This window comes from Homo sapiens, chromosome 19 (assembly GCF_000001405.40).
Source record: "Homo sapiens chromosome 19, GRCh38.p14 Primary Assembly".
NCBI lineage: Eukaryota > Metazoa > Chordata > Mammalia > Primates > Hominidae > Homo > Homo sapiens.
In genome coordinates this window covers 6,565,002-6,581,253 of record NC_000019.10, presented here as the reverse complement: position 1 = coordinate 6,581,253, position 16,252 = coordinate 6,565,002, and the positions used below count along the sequence as shown (strand labels likewise).

General features: G+C 44.0%; 7 annotated features.

Moving 5' to 3' along the window:
* Positions 1,365-1,424: an enhancer, noted in NCBI's record as "active region_13843". NCBI's record gives its function as "activates an Ori minimal core promoter by ATAC-STARR-seq in GM12878 lymphoblastoid cells {active_cell/tissue: GM12878}" and the evidence as "EXISTENCE:reporter gene assay evidence [ECO:0000049][PMID:35858748]".
* Positions 1,365-2,068: a biological region, named in NCBI's record as "H3K27ac hESC enhancer GRCh37_chr19:6579197-6579879".
* Positions 1,386-2,068: an enhancer, noted in NCBI's record as "H3K27ac hESC enhancer chr19:6579197-6579879 (GRCh37/hg19 assembly coordinates)". NCBI's record gives its function as "activates a minimal SCP1, AML or CMV promoter by ChIP-STARR-seq in primed H9 embryonic stem cells {active_cell/tissue: H9 hESC(primed)}" and the evidence as "EXISTENCE:reporter gene assay evidence [ECO:0000049][PMID:30033119]".
* Positions 3,318-3,817: an enhancer, noted in NCBI's record as "active region_13842". NCBI's record gives its function as "activates an Ori minimal core promoter by ATAC-STARR-seq in GM12878 lymphoblastoid cells {active_cell/tissue: GM12878}" and the evidence as "EXISTENCE:reporter gene assay evidence [ECO:0000049][PMID:35858748]".
* Positions 3,318-4,122: a biological region, named in NCBI's record as "H3K27ac hESC enhancer GRCh37_chr19:6577143-6577827".
* Positions 3,438-4,122: an enhancer, noted in NCBI's record as "H3K27ac hESC enhancer chr19:6577143-6577827 (GRCh37/hg19 assembly coordinates)". NCBI's record gives its function as "activates a minimal SCP1, AML or CMV promoter by ChIP-STARR-seq in naive and primed H9 embryonic stem cells {active_cell/tissue: H9 hESC(naive and primed)}" and the evidence as "EXISTENCE:reporter gene assay evidence [ECO:0000049][PMID:30033119]".
* Positions 12,179-12,379: a silencer, noted in NCBI's record as "peak3304 fragment used in MPRA reporter construct". NCBI's record gives its function as "represses an SCP1 promoter by STARR-seq MPRAs in K562 erythroleukemia cells {active_cell/tissue: K562}" and the evidence as "EXISTENCE:reporter gene assay evidence [ECO:0000049][PMID:32103011]".

Below are 16,252 nucleotides of genomic sequence, written 5' to 3'. Positions count from 1 at the left end.
ACTCCATTTCCAAAAAAAAAAAAAAGAGAGAAAGAAAAAGAAATTCAATGTCCATTAACAGGAAGGCTGAGGCAGGAGGCTAGAATCCAGGAGTCTGCAGTGAGCTATGTTCATGTGGCACTCCACCTAGGGTGACAAAGGAATATAAAGAAAAAAAAGAAAGAAAGAGACAAAGAGAGAGAGAGAAGGAGGGAAGGAGGGAAGAAGGAAGGAAGGATTATTTGATGTTACATGATTTTCACCTCAATTTTTGAAAAAAGAGTGTATACACAGGGTTTTATAGAAAAGAAAATACAAGGCCAGGCGCAGTGGCTCACACCTGTAATCCCAGCACTTTGGGAGGCCAAAGCAGGTGAATCAGCTGAGGTCAGGAGTTTGAGACCAGCCTGGCCAACGTGGTGAAGCCCCATGTCTATAAAAATAGAAAAAAATTAGCCAGGCGTGGTGGTGGGCACCTGTGGTCCCAGCTGCTCAGGAGTCTGAGGCAGGAGAATTGCTTGAACCTGGGAGGCAGAGGTTGCAGTGACCCAAGATCATCACACCACTGCACTCCAGCCTAGGCAACAAAGCGAGACTCCATCTCCAAAAAAAAAAAAAAGAGAGAGAGAGAGAAAAGAAAGAAAAAAGAAAATTCAAAGTCCGTTAACAGTTAATCACCATCTTGTCCACCTCCTCAAAAGGAAATTCAATGTCCATTAACAGGACCACGAGCGGTGACTCATGCTTGTTCCCAGCACTTTGGGAGGCCAAGACGGGTGATTCACCTGTCCCAGCTGAGAGAGGGGAAGGATCACCCGCCTCGGCTTGGTCAGAAGGGTAATAAGGGCAAGACCAGCCTGGCTTATATGGCAAAACCCTATCTCTACTAAAATACAAAAAAAAAAAAAATAGCCAGGCATGATGGCAGGCGCCTGTAGTCCCTGCTACCTGGGAGGCTGAGGCAGGAGAATCGCTTGAACCCAGGAAGCAGAGGTCGCAGTGAGCCAAGATCACAACAAGTCTGGCTATTTTTTTTTTTTTTTTTTTTTTTGTATTTTTAGTAAAGACTGGGTTTCACCATGTTGGCCAGGCTGGTCTTGAACTCCTGACCTCAGGTGACCCACCCACCTTGGCCTCCCAAAGAGCTAGGATTACAGGCATGAGCTGCTGTGCCCAGCCTCATCTTTTGAAATTTAGCATTAAACTCGGACATCCAGATTAACAGGATAGAGACCAGAGATGTCCACTGTCATAAATTTAGCCTGCACAAAGGAGGAACTGGTGTTTTGATGAATCTACGTAATTCACCAATTAACCGACCACACTTTGTGTGTGGTCTTTTTTAAGGGTGATGGTAAATGCTTCATGAGTCTGTTGTGCTGAGATAGGAAAACTGTATCTCTTTAAAATTCTCATAATACTGATTTAAATATCATGCTGGTGTGTGTATGTACAATGCACATGCAAATTTCCAGCAAACCTTACCAGCCCTAAGACCCAAGTGAGGCTATTTGAACGCAGAGCCCACATTTTCCAATTTGGGGTAAACCCACTCCTTAATAGCTCGCAAGCCTCCAGAGAGCCCACATATTTGTGCCCCAATATCTGCTCATTTCCTCCTACCCCTATTCCCTGGTAACCACAGTTCTACTCTCTGTCTAAGAGTTTGGCTTTGTTTTTTTTTTTAAAGATTCCCCATATTGACAGAACAGGAGTATCACCATCTTGGACAAGTGCTGCCATTTTAAGTTTCATCTTGATCAGAGCTGGGCGGGGTGGCTCACACCTATAATCCCAGCACTTTGGGAGGCCAAGGTGGGCGGATCATGAGGTCAGGAGATTGAGACCAGCCTGGCTAACATGGTGAAACCCCGTCTCTACTAAAAATACAAAAAAATTAGCCAGGCGTGGTGGCGGGTGCCTGTAGTCCCAGCTACTCAGGAGGCTGAGGCAGGAGAATGGCATGAACCCGGGAGGCAGAGGTTGCAGTGAGCTGAGATCACACCACTGCATCCAGCCTGGGCAACAAAGAGAGAGTCCATCCCAAAAAAAAAAAAAAAAAAAAGTTTCATCTTGATCAAAAAACTGCCTAAATCCAAATGGCATCAGCCTAATGGCTAAGGTCACTATGACCATAAACCACAAATAACATCCTCAACCACAGACATTCCAGCCCCAAGATAACCTCCTTTCTGGCTGGGAAGATGTCAGCCCCAAGATAACCTCCCCTGTGACCAGAGACATTCCAACCCCCCGCCATAAACCTCTCCTCCACACAGAAACATTCCAAGCTTGTGATAAGCCCCCTCACCCTAAAACCAATATATACTTTTAATCTGTAAGAGAGAGCACTCTTGACCAAAATTGGCCAGAAGCCCCTCTCAGGTTTATTCTCCAAAATAAACCCGTCTTTGACTGTTGAGCCCCTTTTCGTGTTTCTTTTCTCTTTCTTTAACTCTTACACGTATAAGTAAGATCACGCAGTATTTGCCTTTCTGTGTCTGGCTTATTTCACTTAGCCTAATGTCCTCCAGGTTCATCCATATTGTCCCAAATGTCAGGATTTTCTTCTCTTGTAAGATGAAATAGTATTCCAATGTGTCTGTAGACCATACTTTCTTTATCTATTCTTTCATTAATGGACACTTATGTTGTTTTCATGTCTTGGCTATTATAAATAATTCTGCAATGGCACTATTCACAATAGCAAAGACTTGGAACCAACCCAAATGCCCATCAGTGACAGACTGGACAAAGAAAATGTGGCACATATACACCATGGAATACTATGCAGCCATAAAAGAGAATGAGTTCATGTCCTTTGTAGGGACATGGATGAAGCTGGAAGCCAAGCCATCATTCTCAGCAAACTAACACAGGAACAGAAAACCAAACACCGCGTGTTCTCACTCATAAGTGGGGGTTGAACAATGAGAATACATGGACACAGGGAAAGGAACATCACACACCGGGGCCTGTCAGGGGTTGGGGGGCAAGGGGAGGGAGAGCATTAGGACAAATACCTAATGCATGTGGGGCTTAAAACCTAGATGATGGGTTGATAGGTGCAGCAAACCACCATGGCACATGTATACTTATGGAACAAGTCTGCACATTCTACACATGTATCCCAGAACTTAAAGTAAAATTTAAAAAAAAATAGTAATGCTGCAATGTTCATGCAGATATTACTATGTTCTGACTTCTCAACGTCAGAAGTGCAGCCTTTGAGGAACTGAAACCTGTGTAGCTGAAAGCTATTAAAGAGCAGATTCTCCTGCTCCAAATACTGCATTCTGGAAGAGGGAAGTAAGCTCTTCCAGTCTTAGTGAAACTGTTCTCTGACGTCTTTCTCATATATACCCTGGTTTCCCCATGGGGGCCATGCAAGACCCAGGGCATTCTGGAAGAGGGTGCTGGGGTCTTCTGGTCTTAGTGAAGCTGTTCTCTGGTGTCTGTCTTATATACCCTGGTTCTCTGATGGGACCACACAAGACCCAGAGAAGGCAAACACTTCCACTGGCAGACCTGTGGCAGATTCTTCTCTCCTCCAGCCCCAAGATGATATTGTATTTGCAAGATTGTTTCCTCCCTGAGAATTGGCTTAACACTTTGCCGTTATTCAAATAGGCTGAGACGGGGTGTGTCTCATCCGCTCAGGGGGCAAGCCCAGACAAGCCCAGACAAGACCAAGCTTTCTTTACATTCAGAGACTATCTGGACTCTCAGATGCATATGCAACTCAAAAACCACCTACCACCAGTACCCATAAACACACACACACACACATACACTGAGCACAGCCTCCTCAAGTGCACACACCCAGCCTTTATCTTTGTGTGCACACTTTTGTGCATGCTTAGTCTTTTATGTGCACCGACCATTACTCTGTCAAATAAAAAACAAATCTGAATTTAGCAAGGGAAGACTTTATTCAAAAAGACTATTGCAAGGAGGGTAGAATAGGACTATCCTGTCACACACACCCATGTGAAGAGAGTCCACCAACAGGCTTTGTGTGAGCAACGAGGCTGCTTATTTCCCTTGGGTGCAAGTGGACTGAGTCCAAAAAGAGTGTCAGCAAAGGGAGATGGGGTGGGGCAGTTTTATAGGATTTGGGTAGGTAGTGGAAAATTACAGTTAAAGGTGGTTATCTCTTGGGGGCAGGGGCGGGGTCACAAGGTGCGGTGGGGAGATCATGAGACTCATTGTCCAGGAGAAGGAATGTCACAAGGTTGATTGATTGATTAGTTGGGGTGGGGCAGGAACAAATCACAATAGTGAAATGTCCTCTTTTGTGGTTCTTGAGTTGCTCCAGGCCATCTGAATGTATACGTGCAGGTCACAGGGGTTATGATGGCTTAGCTTCAGCTCAGAGGCCTGACATTACTGTCTTCTTATATTAATAGGAAAAACAAAACAAAATAGTGGTGAAGTGTTGGGGTGGCAAAAAGTTTTTGGGGGGGTGGTATGGAGAGATAATGGGCAATGTTTCTCAGGGCTGCTTCGAGTGGGATTAGGGGTGGCGTGGGAACCTAGAGTGGGAGAGATTAAACTGAAGAAAGATTTTGGGGTAAGGGATGATATTGTGGGGTTGTTGGAAGGAGCATTTGTCATATAGAATGATTGCTGATGGCCTGGGTGTGGTTTTGTAGGAATTGAGAAACTAAACGGAAGATACAAGGTCTGAATAAGGGAAGGAGAAAAACAGGTATTTAAGGACTAAGGGAGGACCCAGGATATCCAACTAGAGAGTGCCCAAAGTGGTTCAGCATAATTATTTGCTTGACTGGCGAGTTTCTGGGCTCTGTCCTTGAGTGTTTTTATGTTGTCATATACCAGGCCAGATAGATTTAGGTAAAAACAACAGTCTTCATTTAAAAATATGCAGAGTCTTCCTTTTTCAGCAGTGAGCAAGTTCAGGCCTATTCCTGTCTTCTTATATTAATAGTAAGAAAAACAAAACAGCAGTGAAATGTTGGTGTCATGAGGGGAACAGGAAGCTGTTCGGTCCCATATGCAAATTGATTTTTGGGAGTAAGGAAAACTAGTGTACATGTGCCTGTCCAATTAACAGCTAAACACATGTAGGTGGAGAAGCCACGAAGGAAAAAGAGACCTTGTGTAAGGCAAAACTGGAAATGTAAAGTGAAAAGATGAGAGGATGTACTAAAAGAGGTATCTTCATATGGCTAGGAATCTGGAGTAGGCAAGAGAAGATTAGCAGCCCGGTGAATTTCCTGTCTAGCCTGCTGGAGGACTGGAAGATAGCCGCCTAGAGGGCTGGTGTCTAGGATGAGGTTGGGGCCCAGCAAGAAAGTGCGTCCATATAAAAGTTCAAATGGACTGTACCCTGTGGCCTCTCGAGGACAGGCCCTAATTCTGAGGAGGGCAAGTGGTAGAAGTACTTAAGTTGGAGGCTGAGCTTGGTGAGGTGTGTTTTTAAAAGACCATTCGTCTGTTCTACCTTTCCTGAAGATTGAGGACGGTAAGGGGTATGAAGTTTCCACTGAATACCAAGAGCCTGAGAAACTGCTTGGGTGATTTGACTAATAAAGGCGGGACCATTGTCAGATTGAATAGAAGCAGGGAGGCCAAATCGGGGAATTATATCTGTTAGAAGGGAAGAGATGATGGCAGTACCCTTTTCGGAGCTAGTGGGAAAAGCCTCAACTCATCCGGTGAAGGTATCGACCCAAACCAGGAGATATTTAAATTTACGGACATGGGGCATATGAGAAAAGTCAATTTGCCAATCTTGTGTCGGAGTAAATCCACGAGCCTGATGCATAGGAAAAGGAGGAGGCCTGAGAAAGCCTTGGGGGCTGGTGGCATGGCAGACAGAGCATTGAGAGGTGATGGTCTTAAGGATGGATTTCCACAGAGGGAAGGAGATGAGGGGCTGTAGGAGGCGAGCCAGAGACTTGTATCCCACATGGAGGTGGTCATGAAGGAAAGAAAGAATGAACTGAGCTTGTGAGGCAGGAAGAATGAATTTTCCATGATTTAAGAACCACTTGCCCTGAGTTGGAAAAGACTGGTAGAGCAGGTTTCCAGAAGAAGAGTAGGTGGGAGTGATAGAGGAGAAAGAAAAATACTGGCCCTCTGGAGCGGGGGCTGGAATATTGGCAGATGTGGAGGCATTGGCTATTTCTTTTGCTGTCCTGTCGACATAGGCATTTCCTTTTGCAATAAGATCAGTAGGTTTCTGGTGTCCTTTACAATGAATGACTCCAGCCATGGCCGGCGGGAGAGCAGCCTTAAGGAGGGCCTTTATTAGGGAGGCATTGATCATGGAAGAGCCTTGTGTGGTAAAGAAGCCTCTTTCAGCCCAGAGGGCAGCATGGTTATGGAGGATGTGGAAAGCATATTGGAGTCCGTGTAAATGTTAATGTGCATTCTGTTAGCAAGAGAGAGCGCACGAGTTAAAGCAATTAGTTTGGCTTGTTGGGAAGTGGTGGAGGGAGGAAGTGCAGCAGCTTCGATAATAAAGATGTGGGACACGACATCATATCCAGCTTTAGCTGGTGAAAATTGATTGGGTTTAGAAGCACTGCCATCGATAAACCAAGCGTGGCCTGGGTTTGGAACTGGAAGAATAGAAATCTGAGGAAAGCGGGAAGATGCTATGTGTGTTAGGGAAACAGTCATGTGGTTCAGGACTTGTGTAAACGAACCCAGGTTTGGCTGCTCATCATTTGAAAGCCAGACTCAAGAGACAAGGATTGGAGGAAGGAAAAGCAGGTTTAATCAGAGAGCCAGCAGACTGGGAAGATGGGAGACTATAGTCTTAAACATCATCTTAAATTTTAAAATCTTACCATAGGGATTTTACAGGAAAGCTTGGTATTGATATAGGAGTTAAGAAGAAATTACTTAGGCAGATAGGGAGATATGGGGGTCCTCGGTAAGGTCTTCCTCTTAATGAAAAGCAGCCCCCAAATCATTTTCTTCTCTAGCAAAGAGCAGCCTGTAAAATCGAGTGGCAGACATAGACAAAAAAGCTAGAAGTTTGCACAGGTGAATGCTGGCAGTTGTGCCAATAGGAAGAAACTACTCGGGAATAGGCATGCTCAAAATGGCAGCTCCGTCTTCTCTTCTCTTTGCCAGCCACATGTACAGTAAGAGGCAGACAAGATGGCACTGACCAAGCAGAAAGCCATTTGCATGATAAGATTAGGGTGGGGCAACCAGCCTTCCCCACGCACCATGTAAACATCACACCTGGTCGAACCAATCTGTGGGCCTTACATAAGTCAGACACCTCCTTCTCAAGCCTGCCTGTAAAATCTGATGAGGTCCACCACTTTTTCCTTTTCAGACACCTCTCTCTCGAAAGAGGGAGAGAGCTGCTCCTCTTCTCTCCTTTCTTCTGCCTATTAAACTTTCTGCTTCTTAACCCATTCCATGTGTGTGTGTCCATATTGTTAATCTTCTTGGTGCAAGAGGACGACTCCCAGGTATTTACCCCAGACAACAATGCCACTTCAGTATGGGAGATGTGGAGTAGAATGGTGCACGGTATGGGGTCTGTGTGTCTTGTTCCAATGGCTAACTTGGGTTGTCGTCTGTTCAGGGGTCTGGTTGGTATTATCTTGACTTTGTCCAAATGATGGTGGACTAACCATTAGTATTAGTGGCTCTCCCTAAGTGAAAGGATTCTGTAATCAGGGCTCCTGATTTGCCTGGTTTGTTTTAAGATTAGCCTCTGGAATTTCTCAAGGAAGTGCCTAATTAGATAAGCATGCATTGCCAGAAGGGAGTATCTAGAGAGGGAAGGAATGAAGAGGTGAGAGGAGAGGAGGGTGATTAAAAGTATATATGTGTGTAGATAGATAGATAGATAGATAGATAGATAGATAGATAGATAGATACTTATAAATAAATGAATATACACATATATATATATTTTTTTTTAGAGGGAGTCTCACTCTTCTCGCCCGGGTTGGAGTGCAGTGGTGCAATCTCAGCTCACTGCAACCTCCTTCTCCCGGGTTTAAGCAATTCTTGTGCCTCAGCCTCCCAAGTAGCTGGGATTATGACTCCCACCACCACACCCGGCTAATTTTTTTGTATTTTCAGTAGAGGCAGGGTTTCACCATGTTGGCCAGGCTGATCTTGAACTCCTGACCTCAGGTGATCTGCCCACCTCAGCCTTCCAAAGTGCTGGGAATGCACGCATGAGCCACCGCACCCGGCAATTAAAATATCTTTTTAGGCTGGTCCAAGTGCAGTGGTGTTTACAACTAATTGTTCACAACCAGTTACATATTTCTTTGTTCCTTCTCCACTCCCACTGCTTCACTTGACTATCCTAATAAAAAAATTAATAAATAAAATATATTTTTAAACTGAAGTCCCCAGTTACGAAATCCCCACCATCAAACTCCATTCCATTTCTATGGAAAACAGGTGATGCATCCATTCTGGCTACTTCCTGCTGAAAAGGGGCAGAATTAGGCAGCCATGGGGTAGAACCTATCCACCTGGAGTTGAAAGGATTCACAAGTCCCTGGGCTTACACAAGAGAATCTTCTGGGAAGGGCAGAGCAAGGTGGCCAAATAAAGAGTGCCACCAATCATCCCTCCAACAGGAGCACCAAGTTTGACAACTAGCTACACAAAGGGAGTGCCTTCCTAGGACCCAAAAATCAGGTGAGCACTCACAGTGCCTGGTTTTGACTTCATATCGCTGAAAGAGGCACTGAAGAGGGAAGGAAAGACAGTCTTGAATTGCCAATGCCACCCCTCCCCCACCCCCCCCAGCAGCAACCATGTGGACAGAGAGTCTGTGAGTTGGGAGGGGGAAAGCGCAGCAATTGTGAGGCTTTGCATTGAATTCACTGCTCACTTGTCACAGCAGAAAGCGGAACTGGGCTGTCCCCAGCTGACCCATCCATAGGGGAAGCAGTTGGACTGGCCCTAACCAGAGCGGAATCACCCATTTCAGTGGTCAGGGCTTGAGTTCCAGCAAGCCTTGCCACTGCAGGGTGGAGTGCTCTGGGTCCCTAAGTGAATTTGAGGGAAAGTGATTCAGTCAGAAAGAAAAGGTTGTCAATGAGCAGTAAGAAATCATCCGAAGGTACAACACTCACTGGTAATAGTAAGTACACAGAAAAAACACAGAGTATTATAAGACTGTAGCTGTGGTGCATAAAGGACTCTTATCTTAACTAGAAAGACTAAAAGATAAAACAATCAAAAATAATACCTACAACAGCTTTTCAAGACACAGACTGTGCAATAAGATATAAACAGAAACAACAAAAAGTTAAAAAGCAGGAAGGCAAAGTTAGAGTTTTGTTTTGTTTTTTGAGATGGAGTCTCGTACTGTCACCCATGCTGGAGTGCAGTGGTGCCATCTCAGCTCACTGCAACCTCCACCTCCCAGGTTCAAGCAATTCTCCTGCCTCAGCCTCCCGAGTAGCTGGGATTACAGGCACCCGCCACCACACCCAGCTAATTTTTTGTATTTTAGTAGCAACGGGGTTTCACTATGTTGGCCAGGCTGGTCTCGAACGTCTGACCTCATGATCCACCTGCCTCAGCCCCCCAAAGTGCTGGGATTACAGGCGTGAGCCACTGCACCCTGCCTGCAAAGTTAGAATTTTTACTAGTATTCTTTTTGCTTGCTTGTTTGTTTATTTATGCAAGCAGTGTTAAGGTGTTATCAGCTTAAAATAATGGTTATAAGATAGTATTTGCAAGCCTCATGGCAACCTCAAATCAAAAAACATACAATGGATACAAAACAAATAAAAAGCAATAAATTAAATTAAACCACCAGAGAAAATCACCTTCACTAAAAACAAGATAGGAAAGAAGGAAAGGAAGACCAGAAAGCAAACTAAAATGCCAGAAGTAAGTCTTTACTTATGAATAATAACATTAAATGTAAATGGACTAAAGTCTCCAATCAAAAGATATAGGGTCACTGAATGAATTAAAAAAAGAAACAAGACCCAATGATCTGTTGCCCACAAGAAACACACTTCACTTATAAAGATACACACAGACTGAAAATGAAGGGATGGAAAAAGATATTCCATGCCAATGGAGACCAAAGAAGAGCAGGAGTAGCTATACTTAGACAAAATAAGTTTCAAGACAAAAACTATAAGAAGAGACAAAGAAGGTCATTATACAATGATAAAGGGATCAATTCAGCAAGAGAATATGGCCATTGTTAATATATATGCACCCAACACTGGAGCACCCAAATATAACAAGCAAATACTATTAGAGCTAAAGTGAGAGATAGACCCCAATACAATAATAGCTGGAAACTTCAACAACCTGCTTTCAGCACCGGACAGATCTTCCAGCCAGAAAATCAACAAAGAAACATCAGAATTAATGTGCGCTATAGACAAAATGAACCTAATAGATATTTACAGAACATTTCTTTCAACAGCTACAGAATAAACGTTAAATAAAGCTGCAGAATAAACATTGAAAACAGCTGCAGAATAAACACCTTTTCCTCAGCACTTGGATCATTCTTAAGGATGGACCATATGTTAGGTCACAAAACAAGTCTTAAAATATTCAAAAAAAATTAAAATAATATCAAGCATCTTCTCTGACCACAATGAAATAAAACTAGAAATCAATAACAAGAGAAATATTGGAAAGTATACAAACACAATGGAAATTAAACAATACACTCCTGAACAACCAGTGGGTCAATGAAGAATTAAAAAATAAATTCAGAAATTCCTCAAAACAAATGATAATGAAAACATGACATACCAAAACCTATGGGGTACAGTGAAAGCAGTACTAAGAGGGAAGCTTTAGCTATAAGCACCTACATCAAAAAAGAAGAAAAACTTAAAATAAACACACTAACAATGCATCTTAGAGAACTAGAAAAGCAAGAGCCAACCAAACCCAGACTCAGTAGAATGAAAGAAATAATAAAGATCAGAGCAGCCGGGTGTGGTGGCTCACGCCTGTAATCCCAGCACTTTGGGAGGCTGAGGCGGGCAGATCACGAGGTCAGGAGATCAAGACCATCCTGGCTAACATGGTGAAACCCCGTCTCTACTAAAAGTACAAAAAATTAGCCGGGCATGGTGGCAGGCGCCTGTAGTCCCAGCTACTCAGGAAGCTGAGGCAGGAGAATGGCGTGAACCCGGGAGGCGGAGCTTGCAGTGAGCCGAGATGGCGCCACTGCACTCTAGCCTGGGTGACAGAGAGAGACTCCATCTCAAAAAAAAAAAAAAAGAAGCCTCTGGGAAAGCCAGTCTTGCATTCCCATACATAGCATGCAACAGCAATACAGTCCAGGGTAGAAAAATAAAGCTATCCCTATAATCATGGCTAAAATCACAAGCAAATTTTTCCATCTGGAGGGACCTTATCCAAACCATGAGGAGAGTCATTGATTTAAAGATATTGTGGGGCCAGGCATGGTGGCTCACCTGTAATCCCAGCATTTTGGGAGGTTAAGGTGGGTGGATCATTTGACGTCAGGAGTTTCAGACCAGCCTGACCAACATGGTGAAACCCCACCTCTACTAAAAATACAAAAAAAAAATTAGCTGGGCATAGTGGGGCTATAAGTGATAGTGAATAAGTCTCACGAGATCTGATGGTTTTAAAAACAGGAGTTTTCCTGTGCCTGTAGTCCCAGCTACTCAGGAGGCTGAGGCAGGAGAATCAGTTGAACCTAGGAGGTAGAGGTTGCAGTGAGCTGAGATCACATCACTGCACTCCAGCCTGGGCAACAAGAGTGAAACTCCTCAAAAAGAAAAGAAAAGAAAAGAAAGCTGGGTGCGGTGGCTCACGCCTATAATCCCAGCACTTTGGGAGGCAGAAGCGGGTGGATCATGAGGTCAGGAGATCGAGACCATCCTGGCTAACACAGTGAAACCCCGTCTCTACTAAAAATACAGAAAATTAGCCTGGCATGGTCGTGGGCGCCTGTAGTCCCAGCTACTCAAGAGACTGAGGCAGGAGAACGGCGTGAACCCGGGAGGCAGAGCTTGCAGTGAGCCAAGATCGCACCACTGCACTTCAGACTGGGTGACAGAGCGAGATACCATCTCAAAAAAAAAAAAAAAAAAGAATAGAATAGAATAGAATAGAATAGAATAAAAATATTACTATTAAGCCCTATAGATCAAAAGTTCTTTTCAGGACAAAAAGGCACACAAGCTTGCAATTTCTGTAAACCAGCCAGATCTAGCCCGTGGTCAGTGGTTTCTTCATCAGGAAAAAGTTACTGAAATAAGTCTCTTGCCTAATTAAAGCCATAGTTATGGCTGGTGGTCAGTTAGCATCCAGTGGAGCTGCAAAGTGCTTTAACGTTGCTTATCTAGAGGCAAATGCTTGTTTGGCTGCTTGGGAAAAAGAAAAACTTTGTGGCATTTAGAACATAGTTTACTTCTTTTTTTTAGATGGAGTCTCACTCTGTCATCCAGGCTGGAGTGCAGTGGTGTGATCTCGGCTCACTGCAACCACCGTCTCCCAGGTTCAAGCGATTCTCCTGCCTCAGCCTCCCGAGTAGGTGAGACTATAGGCGCATGCCACCAACCTGGTTAATTTTTTGTATTTTCAGTAGAGATGGGGTTTCCCCATGTTAGCCAGGATGGTTTTGATCTCCTGACCTCATGATCTGCCCACCCCAGCCTCCCAAAGTGCTGGGATGAACATAGTTTACTTTTTAAGTGAAGGAGTGTGTGATTTAACCTTTGCTGGCATGGTCTTAGGTTCTGTTTATAATTTGGTATCTTTTTTTTTTTTTTGAAACACGATCTTGCTCTGTCACGCAGGATGGACTGGAGTGGCACAGTCATAGCTCACTGTAGCCTCGAACTCCCAGGCTCAAGCTATCTTCCCACCTCAGTCTCCCAAATACCTGGTGTAGGAGATTGGTCAGGGTGGTGGGAGAAATTATAGAGTTATAGGAAATAGACACAAACTTTCTTGGAAGGCCGGGTAGTTTGCATCACTTCAGTAAAAGATTTGGCTGGAGGCAGCTGAATTCTCTTAAAAGCTTAGGGCGTAGATACATAGGAATGTAGAGGAATTTATCTAAATAGCTTGTTTACTCATGTGGTCCTAAGACTGACCTTTGGTCATCTGCGGGTGCATGACTGCTCTCTACTCAGGAGGTCAGCAATGTTAATTACCCTCCAGTGGTGTTTACTTGAGACATTTGTCATTTAATCTGTACTAAATAAATGCAAACTTCGCCAGTTTATCGAGGCCAATGCTGTGGACTCAGGCAGCAGAGCCCCTTAGCCACACTGACAGGCAAAATGTCTGTGTCAGTGTACGTCTTTCATCCATCACTGGGTCAGGGTCCACAGATCGGACCTGGCAACCTGATACTACAGGTGCACGCCACCATACCTGGCTTAATTCGCTATCTTATTGTTACAGAAAGCCTGTTCTGTCTTGTGATTTTTATTTGACCATTAATGGTGGTCAGTTTTTGTGTCTAAACCACAAAAAGAAGGTATGCCTGGCCTCCCATCCCATTATGTCTGGGAACTAAGTTTTTAAGGTTTTTTACAGGGGCTTCCCTTGGCCAAGGAGGGATCCATTCTGTCAGTAGCAGTGGGAAGAGGGAGCTTGGGATTTAATTATCAGTTTACATTCCCCCTTTTTTTGGTCATTATATGCCAGATGCAACATCGATGGCCAAACTTCTATTTTGTCCCATATTATTGCTGGGGTGGTGTGTCTGCCTACCCAGGCCCAACATGTCCCTCGGTGGGACCCCATGCCCAAGGGATTTGGAGTCAAAATGTTTATAGCCAACTAAATATTCCAGGCCAGATGGGAATGGCGGTGGGCAGGTTCTCATTAACCCTGGGAACCCTTTAGGTAACATGAGAGCCAAAAATCAAATGCCAAAAGGCGAGGTTATAAAATTGGCATCTATTTAAGTTCTATGCATTGAGCTACTGTAATCTTGGTTGTAGTTACACGCTTGTAGTAATTAGCTATACAAAACATAAGCATTTTCCTAAAACCATTTAAGCTAAGGAATTTAGAGACTTTCAATGTGCTGCAAGGCTTTTTGTAGTCTTTTTAGTAATTCCTCCTAAGGTGGCTGATAAAATTGTTTATATAATTGGCATCATTTTATTACTGGGAGCACTATATCCAGAAGGCTTTGTCACCAGGTGATATTGTTTGGCTGTGTCACCACCCAAATCTCATCTTGAATTCCCACACATTGTGAGAGGTACCTGGTGGGAGGCAATTGAATCATGGGGGCAGGTCTTTCCCATGCTGTTCTCATGATAGTGAATAAGTCTCATGAGATCTGATGGTTTTAAAAACAGGGTTTCCCTGTACAAGCTCTCTTTTTGCCTGCTGCCATCCATGTAAGACGTGACTTGCTCCTTCTTGCCTTCCTTCATGATTGTGAGGCTGCCCCAGACACGTGGAACTGTAAATCCTTTTTCCTGTATAAATTACCCAGAATTGGGTCTGTCTTTACCAGCAGCATGAAAACAGACTAATACACCAGGTATCTGGATATCTTTCCGTAATTTTTGTTTAATTCTATGGAGAGCAAAACTTTTTATGGTTGGGATGGATGGAGAGAGGCAACATAGTAGGCCAAGACACAGTCTTATTTTGGCAGATGTTTGGGCATCTGTGTGCCCATGCTTGAGTAGGAGGGTCTGAAATAATTCTATCCCTCAAATTTGGCCCTTACAATCTCACATGCCCACCTCTTATGTGACAGTCCCTGAGCCTAGAGGGAAGGGGCTTATACAGGTTTAGCAGCAGATCATTAGCAATGAAAGCACATAAGTCCCAGTGAGATTCTAAATAGTTTTTAAATTTCAGAGATATCAGGCCAGGCATGGTGGCTCATGCCTGTAATCCCAGCACATTAGGAGTCCAAGGTGGGAGGATCACTTGAGGTCAGGAGTTCAAGACCTTCCTGGCCAACATGGTGAAACCCCATCTTTACTAAAAACACAAAAAATTAGCTGAGTGTAGTGTCAGGCACCTGTAATCCCAGTTACTTGGGAGGCTAAGGCAGGAGAATCACTGAACCTAGGAGGCAGAAGTTGCAGTGAGCCAAGATTGCACTACTGCACTCCAGCCCAGGTGACAGAGTGAGACTCCATCTCAACAAAAAAAAATTACCGCACAGCAAAAGAAACTACCATCAGAGTGAACAGGCAACCTACAGAATGGGAGAAAATTTTTGCAATCCACCCATCTGACAAAGGGCTAATATCCAGAATCTACAAAGAACTTAAACAAATTTACAAGAAAAAATCAAACAACCTCATCAAAAAGTGGGTGAAGGATATGAACAGACACTTCTCAAAAGAAGACATTTATGCAGCCAACAGACACAAGAAAAAATGCTCATCGTCGCTGGCCATCAGAGAAATGCAAATCAAAACCACAATGGGATACCATCTCACACCAGTTAGGATGGCGATCATTAAAAAGTCAGGAAACAACAGGTGCTGGAGAGGATGTGGAGAAATAGGAACACTTTTACACTGTTGGTGGGACTGTAAACTAGTTCAACCATTGTGGAAGACAGTGTGGCGATTCCTCAAGGATCTAGAACTAGAAATACCATTTGACTCAGCCATCCCATTACTGGGTATATACCCAAAGGATTATAAATCATGCTGCTACAAAGACACATGCACATGTATGTTTATTGCGGCACTATTCACAATAGCAAAGACTTGGAACCAACCCAAATGCCCATCAATGATAGACTGGATAAGAAAACGTGGCACATATACACCATGGAATACTATGCAGCCATAAAAAAGAATGAGTTCATGTCCTTTGTAGGGACATGGATGAAGCTGGAAACCATCATTCTGAGCAAACTATCACAAGGACAGAAAACCAAACACCACATGTTCTCACTCATAGGTGGGAACTGAATAATGAAAACACTCAGACACAGGAAGGGGATCATCACACACCAGGGTCTGTCGTGGGATAGGGGGAGGGGGTAGGGATAGCATTAGGAGATATACCTAATGTAAATGACGAGTTAATGGGTGCAGCACACCAACATGGCACATGTATACATATGTAACAAAACTGCACATTGTGCACATGTACCCTAGAACTTAAAGTATAATAATAAAAGAAAAAGAAAAAAAAAGTTAGCCTGGTATGGTGGTGTGCGCCTGTAATCCCAGTTTCTGGGGAGGCTGAGGCATAAGAATTGCTTGAACCTGGGAGGCAGGGGTTGCAGTGAGCCAAGAGCATGCCAATGCACTCCAGCCTGGGTGACAGAGAGACTCTGTCTCAAAAA